Below are 16,364 nucleotides of genomic sequence, written 5' to 3'. Positions count from 1 at the left end.
GGCTACCATTGGAGAATTATAGTTAGGTCTCTCCACAGCACTCATGTCCTAATGGAGTATAGTACACAGAATATGATGAATTGATTTTTTTTTGACACCTCAAAGTGATCTCCACATAAAATAAATACTTGTAAGTGATGGCCCTTACTGAACGAACAAGATATTTTTAAAGTATAAATATTGTGGGGAAACGTTAAACCTCCAAATCTGTAAGTCAACATAGCTCTAAAGAGGAAAAATTAATGTTACACAGTATCTACTGGCCTGTCAATTGTTACATTTTTAAAAATAGAGCATTGTATACTTAATAGACTGGCATCAAATCTTTTGTACCCTGTATTTTTTGATCAAACAGTTGTTTAAACTGCTTGTATTCGAGGGATGCTTTTCATTTGTAAACATAATATTAATCTTGCCAACAATTCCATACCCTAGTATCTTTTTATTGTAACAATAAAATATATTCTTCTCTATAAAACATTTATGCTCTTTGAAGAGTTTCTTTTCTGCCTGAGGTTTCTTTTTAATCAATTTGTCTATCTCTTTATCTTTACAAACTCATCTTTAATCTTTTGTTTCTTTAAAACAGTCTGGTTTTTAAAGATTTTAGTTTTGAACATCGAATTTTGTGATATAAATTTATGGGGTCATGTATGAAGAATTTTGTCTTCATACTTGAAGTCAAAGGATGAAAAATTTGATCCCTAAAGAGTTCTTTTCACAATTTTTAAATTTCAATAAAATAAAGAATGGTAGGACTGTGATTGAAAAATGTGATACTAAATTTTTCTATTGAATGATGCATATTTATTTTTAAAATCCTTCTCTGTACTTATTCATTCAACAAATATTTATTAAGTGCTCAGTTTGTGCCAGCCACTATAGTAAGCACTGTGGAGTAAAAACAAACTTGGTCTGTGCAATCTTTGGATTTAGGTTATTGGCAGGGTAGGAGGCAGGTATTAATAAAATAACACAAAACTGCAGTGAAGACAAGTATGATTATGAGCAGTATGGTGCTGTATAGATAATATGGTGATTTGACTTAATAAGAGGCCAGAAAAATGGTTTGTTTATTTATTTATTTATTAATGACAGAGTCTTGCTCTGTTGCCCAGGCTGGAATGCAGCATTGCAATCTTGGCTCACTGCAGCCTCAGCGTCCCGGGCTCAAGTGATTCTCATGCCTTAGCCTCCCGAGTAGTTGGGACTACACGGGCCAGCGCCTGGCTAATTTTTGTATTTTTAGTAGAGATGGCTGTATTAGGCAGGATTCTCTTAGAGGGACAGAACTTCTGCCTGCTTTATACTTGCTGGAAGCTGATGAGATTGTGCCCACCAGATTAAGGGTGGATCTGCTTTCCCCAGCCCACTGACTCAAATGTTAATCTCTTTTGGCAACACCCACACAGACACACCCAGGATTAATACTTTGTGTCCCTCTATCCAATCAAGTTGACACTCAGTATTAGCCATCACAGTGAGGTTTTACCATGTTGCCCAGGCTGTTCTTCACCTCCTGGCCTCAAGTGATTCTCCTGCCTCAGCTTCCCAAGGTGCTGGAATTACAGGCATGAGCCACTGCGCCTGACCAGAAAAGTGGTTTACCTGATAAAGTGGCATTTGAACTGAGATCTGAAAGTAGAATATACTTGAAGTAGATGAAGAGAGGAATGACAATATTTTATAGCAGAAAGGACAGCAGCCCTTGGTGGCAGGAGGCATGTTGTATTCCAGGAACGAAAGACCAATGCAGCTGTAGTGGAGAGAATACCTGAGAGCATGTGATCAGATGAGGCCCACCTGAGGGCAGATAGGGCTAGACTAGGCATAGTGTAGCCACAAAAGGGCTTTCAGTCAGTGATAAGGATTTGGGTCTTTATCTTAAAAAGACAAGGAGAATCCATGTTACATATTTTAAGCAGGAATTGAAGGTGGGGTCTTGAGGAAGGTGAGTGGTTGGGCAACGAGACAGGAATGGTGAAACTCTGTTAGTCTACAATGTGCAAGGTGGCAGAAGTGCATGCCAAAAGTGGACATAGGCAGGCCAGGTGCGGTGGCTCACGCCTGTACTCCTAGCACTTTGGGAGGCTGAGGCGGGGGGGATCACGAGGTAAGGAGATAGAGACCATTCGGCTAACACAGTGAAACCCCATCTCTACTAAAAATACAAAAAGTTAGCTGGGCTTGGTGGCGGGCGCCTATAGTCCTAGCTGCTTGGGAGGCTGAGGTAGGAGAATGGCGTGAACTCGGGAGGCAGAGGTTGCAGTGAGCTAAGATCGTGCCACTGAACTCCAGCCTGGGTGACAGAGTGAGACTCCGTCTCAAAAATAAACAAACAAAAAAGTGGACATAGGCATTCTAGTCAGAAAGTTTGTCTAGTAGTCAAAAAAAAAAAAAAAAAAAAAAAAAAAAGGATGGTGCCTACTTCATTGCCTTAAGCCCTTTCTATCTTGGACAGAACCTCAGAGGGGCCCAGATATTTTCTTGGAGACAGATTCTGTCATGTTTTTGTGTCAGGAGTCTGAATGTCAGTTCTTCCGAAGTTTTACTGCAGCACTAGTGCTGAAGACTGCTGTACTTGTTTGGATGATTAATACTGACTCATAATCCAAAAGCAGGTACATGAAGACTATAATATTCTTAACCATGTATTGCAGATATGCTTTTGGAAGCTGATTCAAAAAACTTACATGAGTACAAGGTGATCTTTAATTGGTTTATGCTCCAGCTACACTTTTTGCTTGTTATTGCTGTGGCAGTGAAAATTCTGACATGAACAAAAGACTGAAAGTAAACATAACTTGAAATATTTATTAGTATAGAGTGGTTCTTGAATTGTATATTTGCTATAGCCTACATTTCAGGCTAAAATTCATTCTATACCTAGGCTTTAACATCTGTTTCTTGGTGCTTTCTTTGTAACTAGCAATACTCTGAAAAGACAGTGTGACATCGGTTAGCAGTTACATCACCAGTCTGTGATGTCGTGTGTGTAATTGTCAGTGGTCAATCCATGGTGCTGTGTGAAATTATACTTAAGCTATAGTGGAAAACTAGTGTCCTCTTCCTTGGCAACTGTGACCAAGTGTGGGAGATAAGCCTGAAGGCTTTAACTGAATAGCCATCTGTTTAAAGCGTCTGGTTTTAAATGTAGCAGCTCATGTCACATCAGTCAGAAAAGGCTCCTGCAGCTGCAGCAGCCTCTGTTTCAGTTAAATAAATAAACAAAATGTGTTTCTTTTTTGTATTTTGTTATTATGTTCCTAAGTCTCCTTTTTTGTTGTTGGTTTTTTTCTTTCATACTTACAAGATTTTGGTTGAGGAAGTTGAATTGTTGATAGGTGGGGTCACCTCATGAGTTAATTATTTGAGATTGTTTAAATACATTTTTATATCTGTCTCTGAAATAACAAAAGTGAAGCTTTGTGGTAAGAAACTATTCAGTTTTTTTATTTGATATGCACTTTCATGTGTCTTGGTGCATAGTGCTGATGGGAAAAGAATGAAATATATGATGAAATACTGTGCTTGAAGAGCAGCAAGCATTGAACCCAGTCATAGCTCGTGAACTTGTGAATGGACCTGTTTCTTTTTAAGTATGTGAAAATTTCTGGGAAATATTCTGATGAATTTTACATAGGTCATCTCTTACTATTGAACTTAAAATATTTCCCTTTTTCTCCCAAGAAGAACATTTTCAGTTTTACTTCTTTTGTCCTGTGCTGCCTTCAGTGAATGAAGAAAATTACTGCTTTATTCATTTGATATTATGGCATTGAAGTATACCATTATTGTGAATTTGATTTCTCTAGTATAGGCTTAGCAATTTGAAGATATTACTGGGAGATTGGCTTATATTAGGAAATAGTCTCCTTTATAAAAAAATTCAAAAACGCAATTTCAGCTTAATTCATCTCTAAGCAGTTATTATGTATGATATGTGTACTTCTCTATTTAGAAGGGCTTTACTATGAATTTTTGTAAATACCCTTTTCAATACACTTAAAAATTCTTCACCTTGGCCAGGCACAGTGTAATCCCAGCACTTTGGGAGGCCGAGGCAGGTGGATCATGAGGTCAGGAATTCGAGACCAGCCTGACCAACATGGTGAAACCCTGTCTCTACTAAAAGTACAAAAATTAGCTGGGTGTGGTGGTGCACACCTGTAATCCCAGCTACTCAGGAGGCTGAGGCAGGAGAATCACTTGAATCTGGGAGGCAGAGGTTGCAGTGAGCCGAGATCGCACCATTGCCCTCCAGCGTGGGTGACAGAGCAAGACTCTGTCTTAAAAAAAAAAAAAAAAAAAATTCTTCACCTATAAACAGTGCAATTATTCATGAATTTTTATTATATAAAGATATATATTTAATGTCATATACTTGATAGGGCTTTTTAACTAATAAGGATGATAGTGCAATTAGCTTATTGATTTGTAAATACCTGCCTCTGGTGTCTTCTATCATACCTAAACCTTTGTTTTGATTCATGAATATATTAGGCAGTTTTGTTTGTATTTTGTAACTATTTGAGAAGAAATAGTTTAAGCAAAAGTAATCTTCAGTCTTGCCATTGTCCCAAGTCATAAAAAATTCTGAAATAATTGTATTTTGCATTAAAAATGTCTTTATTTAAACTCGGCATGGTGGCCTGAGTTGTAGTCCCAGCTACTCTCAAGACTGAGGTGGAAGGATCACTTGAGCCCAGGAGTTTGAATCTAGTCTGGCCTAGACAATATAACAAGACCTTGTCTCTTTATTTATTTTTTATCTTTATTTTTAAAAGTCTTGATTTAATAAGACTTCAATGATCAGTTCAACTTGAATTTTTACCATTTAAAATGTTAAGACGTAGTAAAAGAGAAAAATAGAAAAAGTCACTTGACATAAAAGTATAACTTACGAGGAATTGTATATACAAATTAGTGGTCAAGATAACAGATTGATCATATTATTTTCCAAATAGGTTTATTTGGAGATATGTGAATTTTATTGTTTCTGAAGTAATTTTATAGTTACTGTCTAGTACTTAATTCTTCTCAAAACATTGATTAAATAATTTCTAGGTTAAGTTGGAAACATGTGATAACATTAAAAAATTTAAAATGTCTTTGGGCCTGAAAGATTATGCCTTTACATTCAACATGAAATCCATGGATGGAGTTTATATAAATAACCATGTAGGCTTACCAATCCTTAACCCTCTTGTATTAGTCCATACTCACATGGATATTTCCATATCCACTTTTACTCTTGTGTCAAAAGACAAAATTAAAACTCATTTAGTTATGTATCTAATTGGCTTTTATTCTCGATTCATGAATCGGTGCAGCCTCCATTCTAATAGAATCACAGCTTCTACTGGGCAATGGCAGACTATTGGGTTTTGTGAGGTGGGAATGAGGAAACATAACAATGGGGAAAATAAGCTGATTAGTTAACAATAGATTACTTCAGTTTACTTTTTTTTTATAAGGGTTAAAGCAGAGGGGACTTTCTTGTTCTGACTCAGGTAGGCTAGAATCTCCTGTTTTTAGGAAAAACTCGTCTGTTTTGGGATCTATCTGCTTTCTTACAGTTGCAGTTTGATTATATGACATTTGGCATGAGTGACTCCACTTTGTTAACACTTGAAAGGTTATTATTCCCATATGGAGTATTCACATGGATGTAGCCATTGTCAGTTATACAAGATCGTGTTTCTTTTCTTTGCCCCCCTGCCCCCGTCACCTAAGAACTTGTTAGATATTCCATTTCTTTTTTTAAAAAAAGATACAGTGAGTAAAGGTGATAGAGAGCATATGGATAAATAGTGAAGAAGCTTGATGAGGGGAGTGGTTAGGTTAGAAACACAAGGGAATTTACTCAGGTTAAAACACTGTCATTTTATATTCAAGCCAATATATATTTGTTTTGTTAGCGTTGACGTAATTTTTTTCTGGGAAGGCTTTCCTGACCTCTGGTTTGAGTAAGCAGCTCCTCCTATGTGTTTTAGTCAGCACTCTTGGCTTAATCCATAGTAACTTTTGCTTGTTTGCATTGTAGTTGGTTATATCTGTCTCCTATAGCTTGTGGGCTCACTTTGACGGGGAGAGGCCTTGTTCTATTCATCATTAATCCTCAGGGTCTAGCACCTAGTAAATACTCAGTAAATATTTATTAAATGTAATTGCTTTATCTGATTTCTTATTGATATTTTTTGGAGCAGCAGTGTTGCGGGAGGTCATGTTAATTTAATCAAAGTAAAAAGAATTTGGGGGTTAGTACTGGAAGGTGGTTGGGAAGTGTATATATATATATTTCCAAACTCTTTAGATTTTCAAACTTTGTTCTCCTGAGGACTTTGCCACTTCCAGAACTGTTTCAGGAGCTGCTGTGGGAGAAGGAGGTCAGTGCACGTCCACTGATGTGGTTTGAATGTGTTCTCCAAAGTTTGTGTGTTAGAAACTTAATCCCTGGTGCAATAGTGTTGGGAGTTGGGGCCTATTAGGTGATTCGGTCATGACGGGTCTGCCCCTGTGAATGGATTACTGTCTTTATTTGGGAGTGGGTTAGTTATAAAGGAGTGTGCACCGTCTCTTGCTCTTCTGCCCTCTGACCTGGGATGATGTAAAATGAAGTCCCTTATCAGATGCAGACCTCATGGTCTTGTACTTCTCAGCCAGAACTATAAGAAATACGTTTATTTTCTTCATAAATTACCGAGTCTCAGATATTCTGTTATAGCAGCATAAAATAAATTAAGACATCTACTTTGCCCATTTATACTGGAGGCTTTAGCCAGAATTCTGTTTATAAAGTTTGCAGGCCAGGCACGGTGGCTCACGCCTATAATCTCAGCACATTGGGAGGCTGAGGCAGGAGGATCACTTGAACCCAGGGGTTTGAGACCCTGTCTCTACAAAAAAAAAAAAAATAAAAAATAAAAGAAAGAAAAACCTGTGTGTGGTCATGTGTGCCTGCAGTCCCGCTACTCAGGAGGCTGAGGTAGGAGAATGGCTGCTCAGGAGTTCGAGGCTACAGGGAGCTCTGATCATGCCACTGCACTCAAGCCTGGTGACAGGGTGAGACACTTTTTTTTTTTTTTTAAATTAAAGTTTGGATCCAGTCCAGCCTCTTCCTACAGATCAGAGCCAAGGCCCAAAGGAGCTGAGTGTCTTGTCCAGTTTTGTATGACTTGTCCAGTTTCCATAGTAGAGGCAGATCCAGGTTTCCTGCTACATCATGCTGCTTCTCAGGTGACTATTGCAGGGCTCTCCAGAGAGTTGGCCACTATCATGATGCATCGTGACTCACCTAAATGGTTTTGTTTGGACTAAGTTTGTTTATTCAGTAGTGTTGAAATGTATGTTGCAAACAACAACAACAACAAAAATAGCAGTTAAAAGACCTTATTGCTCAAGAATTAGTTACTATTTTTAAACTATCAGTTAATTGAACGTTATTTGGGACTTTAAATTCCTTTGTGAAAAAATTTAAATATCTGTCTGTTTTATTATAATGGAATTTAACCTGACGATATGTTGATAGTTTGAATTGTAGCAGAATTATAGGAAAACTCAGCTGTAAACATGGTATAAATTATTTTTTTAGTTTATATTATTTTGTTCTGTGCAAGTAGTGAAGTAATCTTCATGGAGAAGAAATCACAGGGTCTGCGTAACAGATTCCATATGGCCAGAAGCATGTAGTGAGTCCTTAAATGGGACAAAGAGATGAAATTTTAATGAAATGTACAGTAATCATTGGGACCACATTAGTTAGCTCTTTATTATTTTGTGCTGCTGCTTTGAAATAGCAGGATGTGGCACATTTATAATCCCTTTCTCTTGAGAATCAGTTACTGTAAAGTTGAAGATTTAATTTAAAAAGCAAGAGAAGCTGTTATGGAATTAAATATGTAGATGTGGCTGATATGATCTGTAAATAACTTTATTCACAAACACAGTACCACCTTTTTAATTCCATACATTTAAATATATCCTTTCATATCTTTTAAATATTAAATCATTTTGACAAACAGCTTACAAAACAAGGTATCAGTAGTGATACTTGAGTGCTTTTTTCTTAAAATCTCTAAAATTCAATTAAAATGTAAGTTGAAAGTATATAGGAATGTGAACTGTAAGTTAGAGTGATAAAAAGTGAATTATAGAAGATTTTTCTTTTAATTACCTGCTCACCTTTCTAAGTCTAATTATATATAAAAGTAATGAGAGGAAATTGTATTCTGGTATTATTTAGACTTTAGTAGATAAAAAATAGTGTTCAAATCCATCTGCTTCTTTTTCTGTCCACTTGGTTAAAATGTATTCTGGCATTCTCTGGGCAGACAGCCAGTTCTAAAATAACCACTTCTATTGAAACAGTTTTTGTGATGTCTACATAAACTCTGAGATTGCGACCTCCATTTGTTGGACATAATAATCTCAGAGGCTTTACTTTGATCCTGTAGTATTCAGTGGCACAAAATAGAGAATTCATTTATTTATTTTAAGAGGCTTCTAAATAAATAGAATACTGTCGATCTTTAACTCTTAATGTTGCCTTTGTTTTAAAACTTAGAAAAACTCAGAAAATCCTTTCCTAGAAAGTTGTGGTGGTGATTTTTTGTTTGTTGAAGTTGTTGTTGAAGGAAGGTAGGATTGAACATATTTTTCAGTTTCCCTAGAGAATAAGATGTTAAGAACTATTGGTTGATTGTTGACATGAGCCAGTTCTTTTTAAATTTCTGGATTTGTTACAGAATAGAAAAATATCTAAATACAGTTGAACTGCTCACTAGTCACGTGAGGTTACTTCAGCTTTCTGTGTTTTACTGTCATCTGTAGAATGGGGGATATTAATTGTACCTATCTTGTAAGGTTATAGAAATTAAATGAGATAATATAGAAATTAAGTGACGTAGTAAATTCCACTATTTGAAAATTATCAACATTACCACAATGCTAGTCACATGAGCATTAATTTTGATTCCTCATCGCTTCTTTTCCTTATTTCATTTTATCCCTAATTTTTGTCTGTCACTTTGTTGGTAGATTTATTTGCAGATACTAAATCTTTTATAATATAATCTCACTGGAGTGCATCATATACTCTGTTTTTCTCTTTCAGATTCTTAGAGTTAATACCATGTATTGTTTAAATATCACCAAATCGGACTTATCTTTGCCAATTAGTTCTACAGACGTAGACATATACTCCACTACTGTCACCAGCAGCAAATAGGACCACGCTGAGATTGGCTCTGAATTTAAATAGTTGGATTTCTGAAATAGGATATTTTCTTTGAATACTAATTCTGAAGAACCGATCTTCTTCCAGAATTCTAATAATTAGTTGATTACTGATAATGTCAAAGTAGATTTCAAATGCCTCAAATATCCCATCCCCTCTTCCCTTCACCTTCCCCTTCATTCCCAGTTGAAGTCATCCTAGGTTTTGAGATAAGCTCTTGCCTTGTCTTGCAGTATGTAGAATAAGAGATGACCACAATCTGTTTCTCGGTTTTTTTTTTTTTTTCCCCTTGAATTTCTGCTCTGACCTGCGTTCATCTGTTTCCTGTTTGGGTTCTGGATCCTTGCAGCTTGCATCCCTAAGCTCCTCATCTACTGCTTACCTTTCAGTATCCAATTTAATTGTTTTGTTTTTACTCCGGACTGTCTTCTATTCAGAAAATACCAGCGGGCTGTGGCAACCAGTAATCTGATCCTGCCAGGTCTCACCTCCATCTTATATGTAATCATTGCCTCTTTGCTCCTACTGTTGCTGGTGCAAGGGACTTGCCTCGCATTGACTTTATGCTTGGGCACTAAGGGCTCAGTATTGATAGCATATCTTTTAAAACACACTGGGATTTTCACCCCTTTCTCCAGAAGTACAGTTTGAAGTTTGAAGAGAATAAAAGTTTGTCTTTGTGGGGACCACAAAAGCACCATAATAACGTAATGTTTGCATTATAAGACTAAATATTGTGGGAGAATGCTGGTGTATTCACCTTTGTGAGAAACAACTTCACTATTCAACAGATATTTGTGTGCTTTCTGTAAAACGGAGAGGTAGTAGGATGCATAGTGCTCTTGCACTCAGGTAGTTCAGTTATGTTGAGAAGAGGAGACTTAGACAAAACCGTTGCCAAAGAAAGGAGTAGTATACTACTGATAGACTTGTATATGGCATAAAGTGTAGATCCTTGAGGAGTTTAGGGAAGAGGGAGATTAACAAAGGCTGGAGTGCTGAAGGATTCGTGTAATTTGTTCTGTTTTTCAGATACATAGTAGGCACTGTGCTGGTGCTGGGGATACAGCTGTGAAGATAGACATGGTCCCTGTCCTCAGACAGTTTATTTTTTGGGAGATAAGTATATTAAGTAAATCAAGTAAATTCTAGTATAGTGAACTATACTTGGGGTATAAGTATATTAAGTAAATCTTAGTGTAGTATACTAGTATAGTGAATATTATGAAAGGCATAGCACAGGGTGGTTAATGAAGGGAAGAACATTTAAGTATGGGAAATACGACAAAGATGAAAAAGTTTTTTGATTTATGTTTTGGTGGCAAGTGTTGAGGCTGTGCAATCTGGATTTTTAGGATACAGCTTGACTGCTATAGTACAAGTCCTAAAATAACAGCAGTGGATACCAGTTTCTCTCCTTCTCTCTCGCTTGCTCTCTCAATATCCTGAGAGCAAAAGCCTAGGACTATTACGGTAGTTTTATCATGGTGTCAAGAATCTGGGCTCCTTCTGTCTAGTTGCTCTTTCATCCTCAATGTTCAGCTTCTGTCTTGTACTCCAGCCTTGGAGCCACATTGTGTGTCCACATCACAGAAAAAGGCAAAGGGAGATATTTTGCTCTACTCGGCAGTTTTATGACTTAGGCATAATGGCCACCCCTACTTTAGGAGGGAGGGCTGATAAGAAGTCCGTACTTGTTAGTTATATATCCTCTAATTTGAGGGAACACTTCAGATAAAATATATTTGCATTTTGAGAACTCTGAGCTTAAATATTCTTACAAAATAAGGTACATAAAACCTCTTCTGAACTTAAACATTTTCTTTTAAAACTTCGCTTAGTAGTTTATACCTTTGATGCATTGATACTTGTGGTAAGGAGGAGGTTGGTACTTGGAAACTTGGCCTGCAATGTGCAACATCTTTTCCTTAACTTGCCACTGATGCTAGACTTTGAAATGAACACCCCTGCCTCCCCATCAGATGTATTGAACTTCATTTTGGACTATAAAAGTTTTTTTTTTTTTTTTTTTTTAAGTAATTGGAGACTTTACATTTACACTGTGCTGCCTACAATCCAGTATTCCTTCATTTGTTAATTTGGAGTTAAAAATGGAATCCTAATGGATGTACTCATATCTTATGTATAATATATGCTTCAGTGGAAAGTTGTAAGTTATAACTTGCTGGAGACATTCATCATATGGTTGGAAAGATATTTATACTACTGCAAAAATAAAAAAAACTGATGAACTTGAACCTTAACATATTGCTAATAATTATTATAAGCTTAAAGAATTTCATGTTTTTGTAGAAATAAAAATGATAGTTATTTACGATAATAGCATGAAGTAAAATGAGAGGTTTAAGAAAAACCATTCTAGAGTGAATTGTCTATAGAAACGTGAAAGTAATTGCACAGAAATTTTTCCCTTATTGAGTTGAGTAAGAAAAATAGAGTATAAATTTATATACACAATAATGGAAATGATATTTTCTACCCTCCACCTTACTATTTCTAATATGAAAATACATACTGGTCCTATAATTATGTATCTGATTATTTTATTAAAATGGAAGAGTGAATAAGTGCTTGGGACCTAGAATCAATATATTTAGTTTTTTGTGTTTTGAAGAACAGACACAATTTTTATGAATAACAACAGCAAAGAATAGTTAATATATTAACAGTTTCAAGGTTTTTTTTTCCCCTTAAATCTTGTTTATAGAAAAGTGTGAACCATACATTCTTTGTTGAAGACTGTGTGGCAAAATGTAACTTCAGCGGTGAAATGAACTCTAGCACTGCCCACAGCGCTAATAGGCTTGGATCAAAAGGTATTATTTTGGTGTTGTAAACGTTTTCATGAGAAAACGTGAAATACCTATTGTGTGGCCGAACTGTGGTATGTTTGCTCTGTCAAGACTGTTGACCTTTCATCGTTACATTTAATTGATTTAAAAGAAATTTGGCATTTGGAAGTATTCAGAACATTAAAGAGAACGTCGTTTTTTGAGACAGAGTCTTGCTCTGTCACTCAGGTTGGAGTGCAGTGACATGATCATGGCTCACTGCAGTCTGGAACCTCTGGGCTCAAGCAATCCTCCCACCTCAGTTTCCCAAGTAGCTGGGACTTTGGGTGTGTACCACCCACACCTGGCTAATTTTTAAATTTTTTGTAGAGACGGTTTCTCTGTGTTGCCTAGGCTGATCTTGAACTCCTGGACTCAAGTAATCCTCCCGCCTTGGCCTCCCAAAGTGCTGTGATTACAGGCATGAGCCCCTGTGCCTGGCCATAAGAGAATATCTTGGCCGGTGGTGGTGGCTCACGCCTGTAATCCCAACACTTACGGAGGTCAAGGCAGGTGGATCACTTGAGGTCAAGAGTTTGAGACCAGCCTGGCCAACATGGTGAAACCTCATCTCTACTAAAAATACAGAAATTAGCCAGGTGTAGTGTTGTGTGCCTGAAGTCCCAGCTGCTTGGGAGGCTGAGGTAGGAGAATTGCTTAAACCTGGGAGGCAGAGGTTGCAGTGAGCCGAGATTGTGCCAGCTGCATTCCAGCCTGGGTGACAGAGTGAGACTCTTTTTCAAAAACAAAAACACCACCACCATCAACACACAATTAAATAAAAAGAATATCTTTATCGAAAAATATTGCTTTAAAAATTCAATACTTATTTTCTGTGGTTGGATTTAATACCTAACTTTTCATAGATTTTAAAAAGTAAAAGTTAAGAATATGTGTCTTTTATGCTATGTTGGTACTTGACATTTTATTGAGTTACTAATGTGTCTCGTAAGCACTACTGCCACAAATTTTTCATTCTTAAGTAATACTTAATTATCTGGAACCCTCAGAGAATGTCATTCTGAACAGAGAGTTTCCTGGAGAAGGTGAGTTTGATCTCACAACATGGGAAAAACAAATCGTTTGCATGGAATTATTTCTTTAAAAAAGTAGAGTTTTCCTTTCTTAAAAGTATGCTTACTAGAAATAACCTAATTATTTATTGGGTGGTGGGAAGTTGAATCTATGTTTTCATTGTTAGTGCCACTAATTGCTCTTGGTAACAAGAGTTCCAACTCCAGACTTATTGCAGGTGTGAGTGAGGATCCATTCAAGAGAAGCAGTGTTGTTCAGTAATTAATAGGACGGGCTTTTGGAGTCAGGCATGGGTTAAAATCCTCTCTTTCTCCTGGGTACTTGCTGTTTGACTTTGTTTTGGCAAACCACCACATTTCATTTTCTTCATTTGCAAAGTGGGGAATTAAGAGTCACAATGCTTCATTGAGTGTGAGGATTACATGAGTTAACACATGGAAATCAGTTAGCACAGCATTTCACTCATAGAAAATTCAGTAAGTATAAACTGTTGTTAATGTTACCACTATTTCTGCTATTGCTACAAGAGCAGTGCTCCGGGCAGCTGTGATTTTTGTTGTTGTTATACCTACTATTGAGTAGTTTTCCTTTCACCGACATTGATTTGTGTATACGCATTAAGGCCATTTCTGTTTTTAATGAAGGAGTTATCTGAATGTTGTCAGTTTGGGGATGAGAAGAACTTGTGAGGCCATGGTGTCAATAAGCCTTCCGTGTGCTTATGGGAAAATACATTCTCAGCACAAAGGGAGCATTAAACCAGATATACTATTTGCATATTAAAGTTAGAAAGATTTTTCTGTTTGGTTTCAAAATTTCCTGCAGTAAGGGGGAATGGGTTAAAATAGAAGCAAGTGTGTATATATTTGTGTCTAGTCTGTGTCTTTCAAAAGGAATCATTTACTTCCTGTGAGGAGTTGCCATAGGAATACTGCTATTATTTCTTCCAGGAGAGTGAATTTAACTTGCTTTTGGCCTTTAAGGGGGCACAACACTTAACTTTAATTCTTTATTGTATGTGGTTAAAACTGATTTTTGTTGTTAATGACATATATCTGGTTATTGCTATTACAGAAATTGATTGCTTCCTGCTCCCTTCTCTGCAATTATTTGTGGTGGTGGGATAGAGACTTGTGGTAGCTATCAGAATGTGCTCTCTGCCTGCTCTAACTAATGGAGGTGGCACTCTGGCTTCCTTCTTTTGTTCCACATTTTGGCTTTTAGCTGCCACCATAAGCTCTTGGCAAATAGACTGAGAAAGGTGAGCAATCTTTTCTTCCAGTTAAACACTCCCCTCCCCTCAGTAAGTTCTGTGTATAGTGACAGAGACTCTTTAACCAGGTCATTCCACCTTCCAGCACTAATGTGGATAGTAATAATAGCTAACATTTATTGTATAGTTACATGTGATGTCATTGCCCTAATTATGTTACACACTAATTTAATTATTGGAGAATTCTGAGCCTCACATTACTGTCATTGGATGCAGAACAAGGCTCGGAGAGGTTTAGTAACTTATCTCTGCTCTTAAATGTCCTACCTGGGCGTGTTCTACCTGGGACTGGACTCCAGATCTCACAGACTCGGAATTTTTTTTTTTTCCTGCTCTTTTTAACTTCTATTATGAAAAATGTCAGATATATGAAAATCTAGATAGAATATTATACTGAACTCCTGTTTACATTTCACCTGTATTTAATACTAGTTAATATTTTATAATATTTACTTTGTCTACTTTTTCTTGAAAGTTTTAAAGCAAGTCTCATAAACCATAACCTATCGTATTTTAGCATGCATTTTTAAAAAATAAGGGCATTTTCTTATTAATCATACTGCAATACTCACATTTCATTTAATTATTTCTCCTAAATTTGTTTTCCAATGTTGAACAGTCCTTCTCTCCTTGGTTGCTTTCCCCCCCACGCCATTGGGTTTTTGTAAAGACTGAGTCCTGTGATTCCAAATCTTTACCTCTATGCCCCTCTGGTCTTCTGACAGTGCAGGGAAGGTGGCAAGCCGCAAGGGAGTAGGAAATCCCCCAAGGATGATATGAAATGTACCAGACTGTGGCTTGCATTCTTTGCATGGTAGACACATTCTTGAAGTTGAAGAAACTTTAGCTGCAGACAAAACTTGACGCTTTAATCACGTATGTCCAAGCAAAGCAAAAAACCACAAACAATATCTTATTACCTCTTGTTAGCAGGATATGAACCATTGGCTGCTGTTAAAGTTTATTTAGAAATGGAAACAGTAATATAATTATGGTATAATAAAATTATGCTGAAAATAATTTCAGACTTTACAAAAACTACTTTTTATTCCTCTTTGATTTGGCAGGCATTTACTGAGTATTTACTTTTTCACAGCCTTTTGGGGGCTTTATACGGAGATCCTATCCACAAGGAGTTTATAATCCAGCAGGGGAGAGAGAACCTGTATGAAACAAATATATTTCCATGTAGGATAGAGCCTGCAAATACTAAAAGACAGGATCAGTGAAAATGCTTAGGAGATTATGAAGGGAGAGGGAACACTTTTCATTGAATGTATAGTGGAAAAGGAAGAGGTTGTATTTGAGGGGTCCAGATAAGTAGGATTTGGCATTCAGAAATTTGTATTTGAGAATCTTGGACAAACCAGAGAAAACATACAGAAATATAAAGGTGAGAAAGGATAGGGAGTAGAAGTTGAGTGTCGATGTCTCTGAATGTCCTTAGATTTAGGAAATGTATTTCTAAAAGACCTACTTTACCTTTTGCCCCTCTGTCTTTGTTCTTTCACTTGGTGACTTTCACCCTTAGGAAGGTTAAAAATAAGGCACTCATTAGTCTGTATGGTTCCCATAGCCGCTATAGACAGATGGCATCATTTTATTTTTGCACATTATGGCTAATTTTGATTTTCCAAAACTTGCTGTAGATTTATTCCTGCCTTTAGGTCCATTGTAATGTGACTTCTTATTGCTCAGTTTCAACCACTGTGTAGGATCCTTCCCATCTGCATTTTTCTAAAGGCCAAATGTAATATAGTTTGTACTGTGCTTTATTCTAAAATCACTGTAACAAAGGAGTTTTATTGTATGCGTTTATTGTTAAATCTCTGTCCTAACACCTTGCTAATGGAGTTTCTTCGTGATACCTTTTAAAATAATTTTCTTTTTCATTGAGGAGGCAATTTGAAGGTAGGATGTGAAGAAACATTTTCACTTAAAGCATTTAACAGTTCTGACATTTCTA

At 36.6% G+C, this 16,364-nt stretch overlaps 1 protein-coding gene across 6 annotated transcripts in view, besides 1 other annotated feature; it reads left to right on the top strand.

Annotated features, from left to right (window-relative positions):
• The window catches only part of MED13L (mediator complex subunit 13L), a 319,118-nt gene that overhangs the window by 110,019 nt on the left and 192,735 nt on the right, over nucleotides 1–16,364 (top strand). The window lies entirely within an intron of this gene.
• Nucleotides 13,233–13,778: an enhancer, noted in NCBI's record as "NANOG hESC enhancer chr12:116591702-116592247 (GRCh37/hg19 assembly coordinates)". NCBI's record gives its function as "activates a minimal SCP1, AML or CMV promoter by ChIP-STARR-seq in primed H9 embryonic stem cells {active_cell/tissue: H9 hESC(primed)}" and the evidence as "EXISTENCE:reporter gene assay evidence [ECO:0000049][PMID:30033119]".

This window comes from Homo sapiens, chromosome 12, assembly GCF_000001405.40.
Source record: "Homo sapiens chromosome 12, GRCh38.p14 Primary Assembly".
NCBI lineage: Eukaryota > Metazoa > Chordata > Mammalia > Primates > Hominidae > Homo > Homo sapiens.
Note: the sequence above shows the minus strand (reverse complement) of the source record. Positions and strands in the feature narration are given on the sequence as shown.